This window comes from Homo sapiens, chromosome 8 (genome assembly GCF_000001405.40).
Source record: "Homo sapiens chromosome 8, GRCh38.p14 Primary Assembly".
NCBI lineage: Eukaryota > Metazoa > Chordata > Mammalia > Primates > Hominidae > Homo > Homo sapiens.
The window spans coordinates 17,074,696-17,086,912 of record NC_000008.11 but is presented as its reverse complement, the minus strand read 5'-3'; the positions used below and the strand labels follow the sequence as shown (position 1 = coordinate 17,086,912).

Genomic DNA, 12,217 nt, shown 5'->3' with positions numbered 1-12,217 from the left:
CCTATCTACTATTCTGGACTAGGTATATTCCAAAAACAAAGAAAACAGCTTCATCCACCAAGAACATTTAAACTGCTATAGATCTATTTTCTGATTTCAGTTTTTTCCCCCAAGAAGATATATCCTTTGGTATTGGTAACCCATAATTAAGTTAAATGTACTTAATGTCACAGTTTTACTTTTTCTCTAAAATGCAGACATCCACACAGGCAACTTCCAAAGGAGTGAGTTCCAAAAGTTAATCTTTTACTTTAAGTCAGGGGGATGGAACTTGGCAGTATGGACATAGAACGTTCTGCAGAAAAACAGGCCCATTCTGAAAGTTCCTAAAATACAGTTGTGTACCATCATAAGAAAGCAACACTAACCTTGGCCATTTTCGGATGGCAGAAACACATCTATATCTATTGTAATCAAATTGAAAACCGCCATCTCCCCATCATTCTGCAAAGCACTGGAATGAAGGCTCCAGCTCCAGTGGCTTGGCTCAGGGACTACACGTGGGCAAGGGCTGCGTGGGTGAGAGTTTAAGCCTACTGATAAATCCCAGTAATCAGTCTGCTTGTTTCCCTTTGAATGGCTACTAGTTAGCTTCTGATGAGGATTTTTATATTTTCTCTTTCCTACTAAGAAAAAGAATGATGTCATAGACTTCCTCTGAGTTTCAGCTTCTGAAGTAAATATGAAGCTCTTTCAGAGGTTTTCTGAGGAATTTTTACAGCTATGTTACAAAGGAAAAGTAGAAAATAAAATGGCTGTTCAGGAGGTAGGGCCATAATTTAAAAAGAAAACAAAAGAAGAAAAGAAAATGGCTGTTGATTTCCCTTTCTTTTTACTCGGAGAGTGTAGGTAAAGACAGAGTGTAATATATATGCTAAAAGCAGAGCATGTTACTCTAAGGAATACATTAATAGTATTTTCTATTTCAGAGAAAAAAAATATACTAGGCATTTTGTCACAAAAAGAGATGCAAAATATATGGGTAAAACAAACAGAAAAATTCTGGAAGCAGGGTATGTGAAGTTGAGTGAGCAACTGAACTCACTGTCAGACCAGTGCCAGAGCTGGACCCATCAAAGAAACATCAAAAGGTAAATATCTAAGAACTATCAGCCTATGGTCAAAGATAACAGAAAGGAACAGGGAAGTGGGGACAAGACTGGAATGCAAGGCAGGAGTAAGTGGAAGAGAAAAGAGAAAGAAAAAACATGAATCCCATATTGAGAAGGAAGAGAAGTTCCTATGGAAGGAGTTGTGTGCCTAGGTGGATGACATAATGGGGACTGAATATTAATTGGGCATGTATAACCTGAGGACTGCCTGTTATCCACCCAACAGAAAACACCTGATACATTTCACACTTTTATGTAAGGTAAAAAACAACGATAATCATCATCATACACTGAATGTAATTTATATTTGTAAAATGTAAATATTGTTCAAAGTACCTGAGTATTATACTTTATTAAGTAAAGGCAAAAGCGTAAGTTTTTCACTCTTTTCTCTACAGTAGTACTCCCAATAAGGCAAAAACATAAAAATATAAGTAAGCAATATTTAATTATTGATAAAGTGCAGCATCTAGTATACATACCACCAAAAACTCTTTTTTATCCACCATCTCATTGCCATCAGTGTCAAACATGTTGAAAGCTATTCTGAACCCTGCATGTGGCTCTGCCAGAAAAAACAGAGAAGGTATTCACAAAATGGAAAAATGTATTTTAAAGTACAAAATCCATATTAGTTGTAAAGTTACTCATATTCTGTATTGGTTAAAGATAGTAGAAAGCGTATAAAAGTATATATATTTCTGCTTTATAATTAGTACACTTAATAAAAATTGATAATATACTTTAAAAGTACTTCTGTGATACTTGTTGCATAGCACTGAGAGAAAAATTTGAATACTTTCCTAAAGCACTTCTCTTTTTTAATCCAAAGTCTGTTAGTTTGTTTTAAAGGAAAATATCAACTCGTCACATTTTAAATATATTCAATATGTTCAGCTACTTAGATTGGCAGAAAAAAAACATGACACAATGAACTAGTTCCGATTCTTGGGAAAATTATAACTAAAATGACCTATGAAAATAAATGTCAAGCATAAGACATTATAGTTTAAACTTCTAGAGGCTTCAAAAACAGAAATATAAAACAAAAGAAGACTGAATATGTAATTATCAATTCCCCCAAAATACAAGGAACAATTGCTTTTCTGAAAAAGACTTTCACATACTATGAAGTGCTTCAATTTCATGAACCTTATAATAATGAGGTTCAATCTCTTTCTCCTTTTCACTTCTAGAGCATAAAGGAGAAAACTTGGACAGAAGAAAACTTGAAAGTGTCCTTCAAAGAGCAGCTCAGTGGACGTGCCCTTCTCAAAACACTGGATCTTTTCTTTTGAGATGACCGGGGGGAGGGGTACAAAGTTGAAAAAGGGACCCCCCACAGATACATTTGCTACCACCTGTTGTGAAATGTTGAACCTGCAAAAGAGGCACAGATAGTGTCCTACTTTCTTAACTAGTAACAGCTGTTTCTGAAAATAACAGAAACAGAAGCCAATCCTTTATGCAAGCTCACTTGTTGCATGTATTTCAGAAATCTAATACAAATTTACAACATCTCTAATAACCGAGTTTTACACTTTAAAAAGATCTTGAAAATACATACAGAAAAGAAGTCCTCCTTACAAGCATTGTTTGGAGGGAAAAATACAGTACAAAGTAAAGAGGGAGACACTTATAGATAGGTAACCAAGATTATGTAGCCCACTTCTTGCCAGCCCTCTTTTCACAGTTTTCTTAGTTCTAATGTAAACAATATCCCATAATTATTCAATTCAACCTCCTTAGAAGCTTCTGTTGGTGAGTCCTGAACTCCAAAGGAAGCTTCACAGCACCCAAAGATCCTAACCTTTCTGTGCCAAAACGCACTATGTATGTTTTTTCTGACCCTCCTAAACTATACCCTGTCCCATCTCAACAATTGGCTACCCTAGCCAACACTTCTTATCCTTGCCTATCACTCTGCTGGTTTAGGTACTTAGCTTAACTTCTAATATCGGATCCATCATTGTTTTGTCAAACAAGGTAACTTTTCAACACATCTTTGAGACACTCCTTTGCACCCTCTCTCATTCTCAGGATAGCATCATTGACTGGACTTGCTTCATTACTATGGCTTTGCAGAATGGATCAACCTCAGGTAGCCCTATTACAAAAGGTACAATACTAGTTCTTCAGCACTAACATTTTAATTTCATTTAAAGTCTGAAACTGCCATTGCAAAATTATAATGGAGACAGTGAAAGAGATCTGACTAACCAACTCCATCTTGCTTTAATCTCCAAGCTGTGTTTGTTCATTCAGTTGCTTCTTGTTTAGTTAGGCCAAACTAACTTTGGGAGGAACTTAGTTTATAGTTTAAAAGAAAGATGATAAGCGCTCTTTCCCGTAACAAACCTCCTTCTTGCCTGGGGACTAGATTGCCTTTGTAGGACTAACAAATTAGCCACAAGATTAGAAATTATGGTTTAGGAGTCATGCAGCTGGAGCTACAAGATTCTGACCCTCCCTAAATTGCTCCTGGGGATAACATCACTATTGTAAAACCTAAGACCTATGCTTGAGATGTTTTGCAGACCCCACACTTGATGGATCAGCTGTCACTACACAGAGCGATAAACTGGCTCATCTGGTCTTGTGGTCCTCACGCAGGAACTGACTCAGCTCAAGAGAAAAGCTTCAACTCCCTATGATTTCATCTTTGACCCGACCAACCAGAGCTCCTGACTCACCCACCCACTACCCACCAAATTATCCTTAAGAACTCTGATCCCTGAATGCTCGGGAAATTCATTTGAGTAAAAATAAAACTCCAGTCTCCTGTACAGCCAGCTCTGTGTAAATTACTCTTTCTCTGTTGTAATTCCCGTCTTGATAAATTGGCTCAGTCTAGTCAGTGAGCAAGGTGACAAGTCCAAGAGAAAAAAATATTTTTTGAAATACACATATGTGAGTGCATGTACACATTCCTTGTTCTCAAAACTTACTGTAACAGAACTCAATGTTAACGTCATTCCTCGCTAAGTTACAAAGTTAAGAATAACACAGTGGTGTGAATTTTTTAATCAAAGAAGTACAAGGTATTTTTAGATTGTTTCTAATGACAGAGTTTTACTGATGTTCTTGTTTCCATGCATCTCCACATATCTCCACAACTGGAAATTCCACTAGCAGTATTCTTTCATGTATTCCTTTCTTCATTCATTCACTAACTACTTTTTGGAAGGGTACCATGTGCGAGACACTGTTCTTGATACAGAGATGAACAAAAAAGAAAAAATCTTTGCCATAATGGACCTTGCATTCAAGTGTGGGGAGACAAGAACATGTAAACCAATAATACTTTCAAATAGTCTGATATGAAGAATATGCAACGCAGTAAAGAGATACAAAGAGAGAGGGAGCTATGTTAGAGAGGCTGGCCAAGTAAGGATTTGCTAAATTTTCACATTTGAAAGGAAACCTAAATGATGTTTATTATCACGGGGATCTTGAGGATAAGTACTGATGGCACAGGAAGCAGAAGGTACAAATCCCTGAGGCGGCAATTCAAGGAATAGAAAGGCCAGGTGGCTGGAACACAGTAAACTATAACAGATTGTCTCCATTAAATGCAAAGAAATTTAACTGAAAACATAGTAAACCCTTCATATATTTCCTAAGAAATGCTGCACCTGACAGGGAGAAAATAGAAGTTTTAGATGTGAATGATGGGTATTCTGATAGACTCAATAGTTAAGAGACACTCTCTCTCACATCAGTCTGGCAGAAAATATGATTCAAATGAGTACAGTAGGGAATTTATAAATTATTACATGTCATGACCTTTGGAGTCTGAGGTAGATTAAAACCACAAGAATTGACACGTAATATTAAATTTATAATTTATGAGCATTTATTACTATACCATAAGCTGTAGCATTTATGTTTTTGACTCTTTACAGTGCTATGCTTAGCATTTTTCTGTAGCATTAAACATGAATTTTGCAGAACAGCATGGATATTGATTTTCAAGAGTAAGAGAACCTAAGATCTGCTTTCCAAGATTCGTTTAAAAAATAAAGCTGCATCCAGAAATAAAAGCAATAAGTATACTTACTTGTTAAAATACATAAAAGAAAAAGATATTCTGTGTAAGAAATCACACCTACAAGAAAAATAGTATCAGTTATATATATAAAATATTGTTCTAGAAGCAATAAATGCTATAAATAATGAGCTTGTAGTTTAAAATAGATGCTAGATATTATTTTAAATGACAATCATTATTATAAAATCATAACAAAAGAAGCAACAAATTTAATTTTACTTTAATTGTTCCACATGCCTTTGTAGATATCCATATAAAATCATTATGCTCTCAAATATATTGGCAAAAAAAGCAAAATTATAATGCATACGTATAGCAGTAACTTTTAAACTTGTTGCTAGTTTCTAATGTACGACTCTTAACACAAAATAAAAAAGTTGTCAAGTCCAACAGAGCTTAAAGGAAAAAACAAGTAAAAATAAAAAGGTTGGAAATAGTTAATTAACACTGTAAAGTGCTTAATTACTTTTTAGTAACACTTGGATAAAACACTTAGACCCTGTTACTTAGAAATGTGATGTTTCGCATTTTAAGAGTAAAGCTCTATAGTTACCACTTTTCTGCTTTCAAATTATCTTCAATGCTTCTATTAAATGTACCCTGAGGAGTTTTTATTGTAATTAAATGGCTTATACTTTCTGTACATCGCATCCTGAGTTCTCAGTAACTCCATACTTGCAAATTTCAAAAGGAGTGCTTTTGAAGTAAATAAAAAAGTGCATTCTGTTACTTGAATTCTTGCTTTTGGAATACAAAACCCAAAACTAGATTTAGTGCTTCAACTGACCTTCCAAGTAGATACTGAGAAGATTGACATCAGTAATCTGTATCTACAATACTTATTTAGATATCAGATAGTTCTGACGCTTGGTAAAAGGGTATAAAAATCCTTAAAATAACCAGATTGTGAACTTTAAAACTCCATTTTATCTGATGTTCTTTGAGGCTGTCTTCTTTGTTACAGAACAAAGAGAAGAGGAGTCACTGTCAGGCAGTTTGTCAGAGACATGAAGGGCACTAGCCAGGAGGCCCTGAAAGCATTCATTCCCTTCTTTTGTTTATACTAGAATATTGTGACCTATAGACAGATAGTTCTGGTTGATTGCCATGAATGTTATGGGAGAAAGATTCTGGAATGGTCAATGTATATAAAGATACAATACTTAAGAGTCTGTAGGGATCCCTCAAAAAATGAAAGAAGAGCATAAAAGAAGGGGCGAGAAAAGGAAATGGGATGGGAAATGGGCATGCTGTCTCCATAATCCCATCTCACTAACTGTTGTTCTAGTTGACCTGGTAGAATACACAAGAGATGTTGGTTGGTATAAAGAACTTTAATAACTGTTATGCATCTTTTATTTGATAGTTAACTCAAGATTTCCCTCAAGGAAAGGACTACTTAATAGTGAGTGTCCAGACCATGAATATCATGGTAGGCGTTTGTCTGTAGGATCACATGGTGATTGAAGTGGCTTAAACCACAGGGAAGAAAAATGAAGTGAAACCCATGATATATTATAATTTAATAAAAATGGTCAAGGAAAAGAGAAAATACTACTGAAGATGAACGGTATATTTTTAATGCTTTCCAATTATACAAACAGAATACTATAAAACTAACTCTTCAATTTATTTATGGCGTGCAGGATCAAAAAATACAAAAAAAAAAGCTAGGCATATAGTAATGGTGTGATCTTTAGAAACAGAGGATAAGAAAGATGCCAACTAGGTTTCTTTCGAAAATTCAATCAAAACAAATTTTAAGGGAAGTTCCTTAAAAGCATTACATGGTTTAATTCCTATACACAATACATTGCAGTTGGCTGTTATAATTAAGTCTCTACAATACATGTTTTCATGAATGCATATCAATTTTTTTATTATTTAAATGCATAACATTTTCTCTCGAGGTAATATTTTAAGTAGATAAACTTACAATTTTAAAATTAGTCTTTAGCCAGGCATGGTGGCTCACACCTATAATCTCAGCACTTTTGGGAGGCCGAGGCAAGAGGACCGTTTGAGTCCAGAAGTTCAAAACCAGCCTGGGCAACAAAGTGAGACTTTGTCTCTACAAAAACTCAAAAAATGAGGGGGAAGAATCGCTTAAGCCCAGGAGGTCAAGGCTGCAATGAGCCATGATGGCACCACTGCACTCCCGCCTGGGTGACAAAATGAGACCCTGACTCAATAAATAAATAAAATAAAACAAAAATAAAAATAAAATTAGTCTTCAATAGCTCTAAAGATTTAGTCTTAAAATTTCTCTGCCACTTAATCGCTATTTAAAAAAAGCAAGGCTCTTCTAACTTCTCTATTTTACCTAACCTAATGATTCTAAAACTTTCTGGGATCATGCATCACCCTGATGATCTAATTAATATGATACAGATACGCATTGTACTACAGGGTGTAGCTATTTAAATTTAAAATACTTAAAATCAAATACAACTAAAAATAAGTTCCTCAGTTACGCTAGACACATTTCAAGTGCTCAACAGCCATATGCGGCTAGTAGCTACCATAAGAGACAGCATAGAAACAGAGTATTTCCGTCATAGTGGTGCAGCATAGATTCTATCCCCTGGGGAAAAAAATGCAAACATGTGTATAACATGAGAAGGATTAGGATATGCCTAAACCTAGGACTTCCAGATTAAACCCTCCCCTTAACTTAAAAAAGGTTCTTTCTTCTATGCATTATTTTTCTCAGATTATATTTGATCCAATTTGTATTTTCCCATGAGGTATATTAAGAAAAATGTTTGAAATTCACCATACTTACTTGATCCTTATGAGCTTTGAATTTTCCTCATCCTATTATCTCACCCTAAGATCTGAATGGCAATCTTTAAGACAACATCTAGGAAAAAAATTTCTAAGATTTTTTTTAAGACACTTTGGCCTAGGTTTCTTGAAGATTTAAAAATCTTACTTATGAAACACCTACAATAAAAGATATGGTGTCTCTTCCTTTCAGATTCTATGTAAACCACGTGGAAGCAATATGAACTTTCTAATTCTACTTAAATAAAATATATGAATTATAACTACTCCTTCAAAGTATTTGTCTTCAGGCTGAAGTACATTATTTTCAAGCCAATATTGGTTAAAATTGATGAAAAGGGAAAATATAACTGCTTATGTAATTTCTTTAACATTTTTATTTTGCATATTCCTGTATTTGAGGATACAAAAAATACATTTCCAAGAAATATTACTTTTTAAGATTAAAAAGATTAATAAATTTTTTCTACAAATGTGTAAAAAGGTACCCTGTAAAAGAAAATTACAATAAAAGCCATATAATTTGATTGCCAGGAAATGTTTAAATTAATGAATTAAGCTAATATTGATATTGATAATAGAGTAAGTTGAAACAGGTATATTTGCAGTAAGTGTTGGCCTTTAAAGGAAACATGTCCAAATTAGGCTGTCAAAGGACACATCCACTAAATTTTTCCTGTTAATTAGTTTAGGAGCATCTATAATTCACTCAGAGCAAAATGGAAGGAAGAAAAATAGACCTTTGAAGATCTAGTATTTTTGTGAAATGTTTTCTTTGGGTAAATATAAAATATACTTTTTGATATGGTTGAAGAACAATTTTTTAAACTATGTAAGTCCAATCTGATATAAAAAAATTTGGAAGATACAAATAATATATAAACAATAACATGAAAACCACCCTTAATGAAGGGTGGAATTACCCAAGAGCAACATTAATACCCAGAAATGTTAATATTTTGCTGTTTTCTTCTTCAGTTTTTTCTCTATGCATACACATAGATGTAATTTAAAAATTATTTTAGGTATGGGAAAATATGCATATATAAATAGTATACATAATATAGTTTAAAAAAAGAACAAGTACTAAGGTTAACTCACCTTTTTCTTTAAGATTTCGAAATAGCTTCGATGAGCCTTTCCAAACTGGTGGTGTTTCTGCGAGCATTTGATTTAATTCCTATGACAGAAGTTATACTACTGATGAATTGGTAAACAACTTACTAATAAAATAGATCAAAAACATGTTTAAATGTCCATGCCAAATTCTCCACTTAAAAGACCTGAAACATGGCATTATTTATCCTATGTTATGCCTGTGGTTCATTCAAGCACACAACCCAGTATTTGCCCACAGTTCAAACATAAAATAAATGATGAAGAGGCTACATTAAATTTAATTAGAGCTAACTAAAATTTCAGATAAGTTGAATAACGGGAGGTTATACATAAGACAACCAAATCAAGATAAAACAGTGAGTTTAAGTCCTGGAGCCAGTTATAAAGGAATCGTTTTAGGAAAATCATGGAAAAACATGGATTTCCATATCAAGGTCGGAGATGGTCACATCACCCGGCTTCACGTAATGTCTCTTCTTTGTAACACATTTGGAATTAGAGAACTTTGTGTAGAGGAAGTAAATGAACAAAGAATTATGTTAGAAAGGAATGAAGAGTATTTTAACGGTTAGTGACTTAGAGAATGATAACAATGGATGAAGCAGAAAGACAAGGGTACTGAGTTATTGTGGTCACTGTTTCAATTTGTTTCTAATTTTAACTTAAATATTAAAGAACACAGACTTCAACTGCTGCTTAGCTTTTTCTTTTTTAAAAAACTCAAACTATCACTGCTGCTCGGAAACTACTGGAGAATTTAGACATTTGAATCATTACTCATATGCTAAATCAATTTTGAATTTATTGTGTATAGTCTGTTAAAAACGACTAAGTGAAAACTATAATTTGATTAATTGTGAAGAAAAATGATTAAAAGACGGTGAGATAACTTGAAATAATTTGAAACAACAAAGTTAGTCTGCTTAGAAACACATTAGACAAACACAGAACCCACTTCTATTTTCAGATCTGACACCCACTCCTCAGAGCATGTGGCTCCCCAATAGTTTAAGCATCACCTGAGAGCTTGTGCGAAATGCAGAATCTCAGTGCCCATCCCAGACCTACTGAACCACAACCTGCATTTTTAACAACATCTTCTAATTTTTACACACATTGAAGTTTGGAAGGCATTTCAGACAAACCATTTCTGACGCAGCTGTACCTAAAAATGCTTTCTGACATTTATAAATCATTTTTGTTTAACTGCAAAGCTGAGCTAGCAGGAAGAAAAATTCTTGGTATGTCAAAGGCAGGAACAGCATTTTTAGGGGATTTATGGACACCTTGAAGCCCATATGTGGATTCTTGTGTTTGTGTTTTTCATGTTTCTGTATCTGCACTGCAGGTAAAAGATGCCAGCAGATAATCAGTGCATCTGATTATAGAATAGGAATGGCACAGAATAATTCAGGTCCGAATTGTAATGAGAAACTGGGATGTTTATTGTTTAGACAACAGTAAACTCAAATATTTTTGTTAGATTGAGAGATTAAATAAAACATTCTGGGTGGGACTCAGTGGCTCAGGCCTATAATCTCAGCACTTTGGGAGGCTGAGGTGGGTAGATCCCTTGAATCCAAGAGTTTTAGACCAGCCTGGGCAACATGGCAAAACCCCATTTCACAAACAAACAAACAGACAAACAATTAGCTGGGCATGGTGGCGTTCATCTATAGTCCCAGCTTACTCAGGAGGCTGAGGTGGAAAAATCACTTGAGCCCAGGAAGTCGAGGCTATAGTGAGCCATGATCACACCACTGCACTCCAGCCTAGGCAAACAGAGTGAGACCTGTCTCAAAAAAATATAAAAAAACTTAAAAAACAACATTCTGAATAAATTTTACATAGCTTAATTTATACCATCTCTATTGTAACTGTATAAATATTAACTAATCTTTCTCCATTTTAACTGTTTCCATGTCTTCCAACCTCATCTGTTCTAACTTAAACTCAGCTACAGTGTAAGACTGAAAAATCAAAGCTAGCTTTTATTGGGTGCCCTCTATGGGTTTGACAATAGGCTCATATAATAACTTCATTCTAAAAACAATCCTCATTATGCATATTTTACTGAGACTTAAAGTGGATAAGTAACACCCAAGGTCACAGAACTAATAAATGACAGAGCCCAGATCCTTACTGACACCAAGTAGCTTATTTTAGTAATAATCTAGTTTCTCCCGGTCTAAATCATCCAATCAACACATTCATCTTGACTTCTCTGTTAACTTTAAGGACCTCTAAAATTTATTAAATTTTTTATATTTCCACCCATGTCAGGAATCTCTCTCCCTCCTCCAAACTCCTAGCTTGGTTTCGTATGTAGCAGTGCCATATTATAAAGAATTTGGCCTTTGTCCCTGGGTCCTAGGAAGCAGACTCTAAATCCTTGGTTCATACCCGAGTTTATGCTAAGGAGATGACTCAGGAGGGGAACTGCTTACCAGAAAGAATAACTGTGATTACAGAGTTGGGGCTTTAGTGAGCTTGACCTCTGGGGAGAAGAGAGAGGCTACAGATTAAGTTCAATCACACAGCCAATAATTCAATCATGCCTATGTAATGAAACCCTAATAAAAATTCTAAGCACTAAGCTCAGAGGAGCTTTCTGGTTGTTGAACACGCTGCTGTGCTAGGACGGTGACACACCCCAACTCCATGTTCTCAAAGAAGGCATAGAAGCTCTGTGTTCAGGACCTTCCCAGACCTTGCCCTCTCTCTTCATCTGGCTGGTCTTACTCTGTATTCTATCTAATAAAACCATAACCATAGGTACTGCATTTTCTGAGTTCTATGATTCATTATAGCAAATCATTAAACCTGAGGGGAGCTGTGGCAACCTCCTAGACTTGTAGACAGTAAGGTCAGAGTGTGGGTGGCCTGGAGCCCCGAAACTTGCAACAAGCATCTGAAATGAGGGCAGTCTTGTTAGGCACCATGCTTAAACTCGGAGTGGTTAGCGTCAGAATTAAATTGTAGGTAGAAAATAAATATTTGCTGAATTAAAGTCAGTCTCCTAGAATTATAGTTGCCTTTTAAAAGAGTTACGTAATTTTCTTAAATAAGTACTATTAAAAAAATTATAGTTAATAGATATATATTATAGAAAAATTAGTAAGTACAGAAAATAAAAACTAATTGTAAT

The 12,217-nt window shown here is 34.8% G+C and overlaps 1 protein-coding gene across 33 annotated transcripts in view; it reads right to left on the bottom strand.

Moving 5' to 3' along the window:
- The window catches only part of MICU3 (mitochondrial calcium uptake family member 3), a 111,403-nt gene that overhangs the window by 51,728 nt on the left and 47,458 nt on the right, over positions 1-12,217 (bottom strand). For 28 of the 33 annotated variants that reach the window (XR_007060729.1, NR_182123.1, XR_001745514.2 and 25 more), the window contains 3 exons: positions 9,052-9,130; positions 5,173-5,220; positions 1,595-1,677 (listed from right to left, as the gene is read on the bottom strand). The exons of 1 other annotated variant lie outside the window; for it this stretch is intronic. Coding sequence is in view for 23 of the 32 variants with exons in the window: in NM_181723.3 (NP_859074.1) it covers positions 1,595-1,677; positions 5,173-5,220; positions 9,052-9,130 (210 nt within the window). In the remaining 9 variants the exon portion in view is untranslated. The remainder of the gene's footprint in view (positions 1-1,594; positions 1,678-5,172; positions 5,221-9,051; positions 9,131-12,217) is intronic. 4 more of the 33 variants (NM_001349810.2, XM_017013336.2, NM_001413223.1 and 1 more) reach the window with 3 other exon arrangements.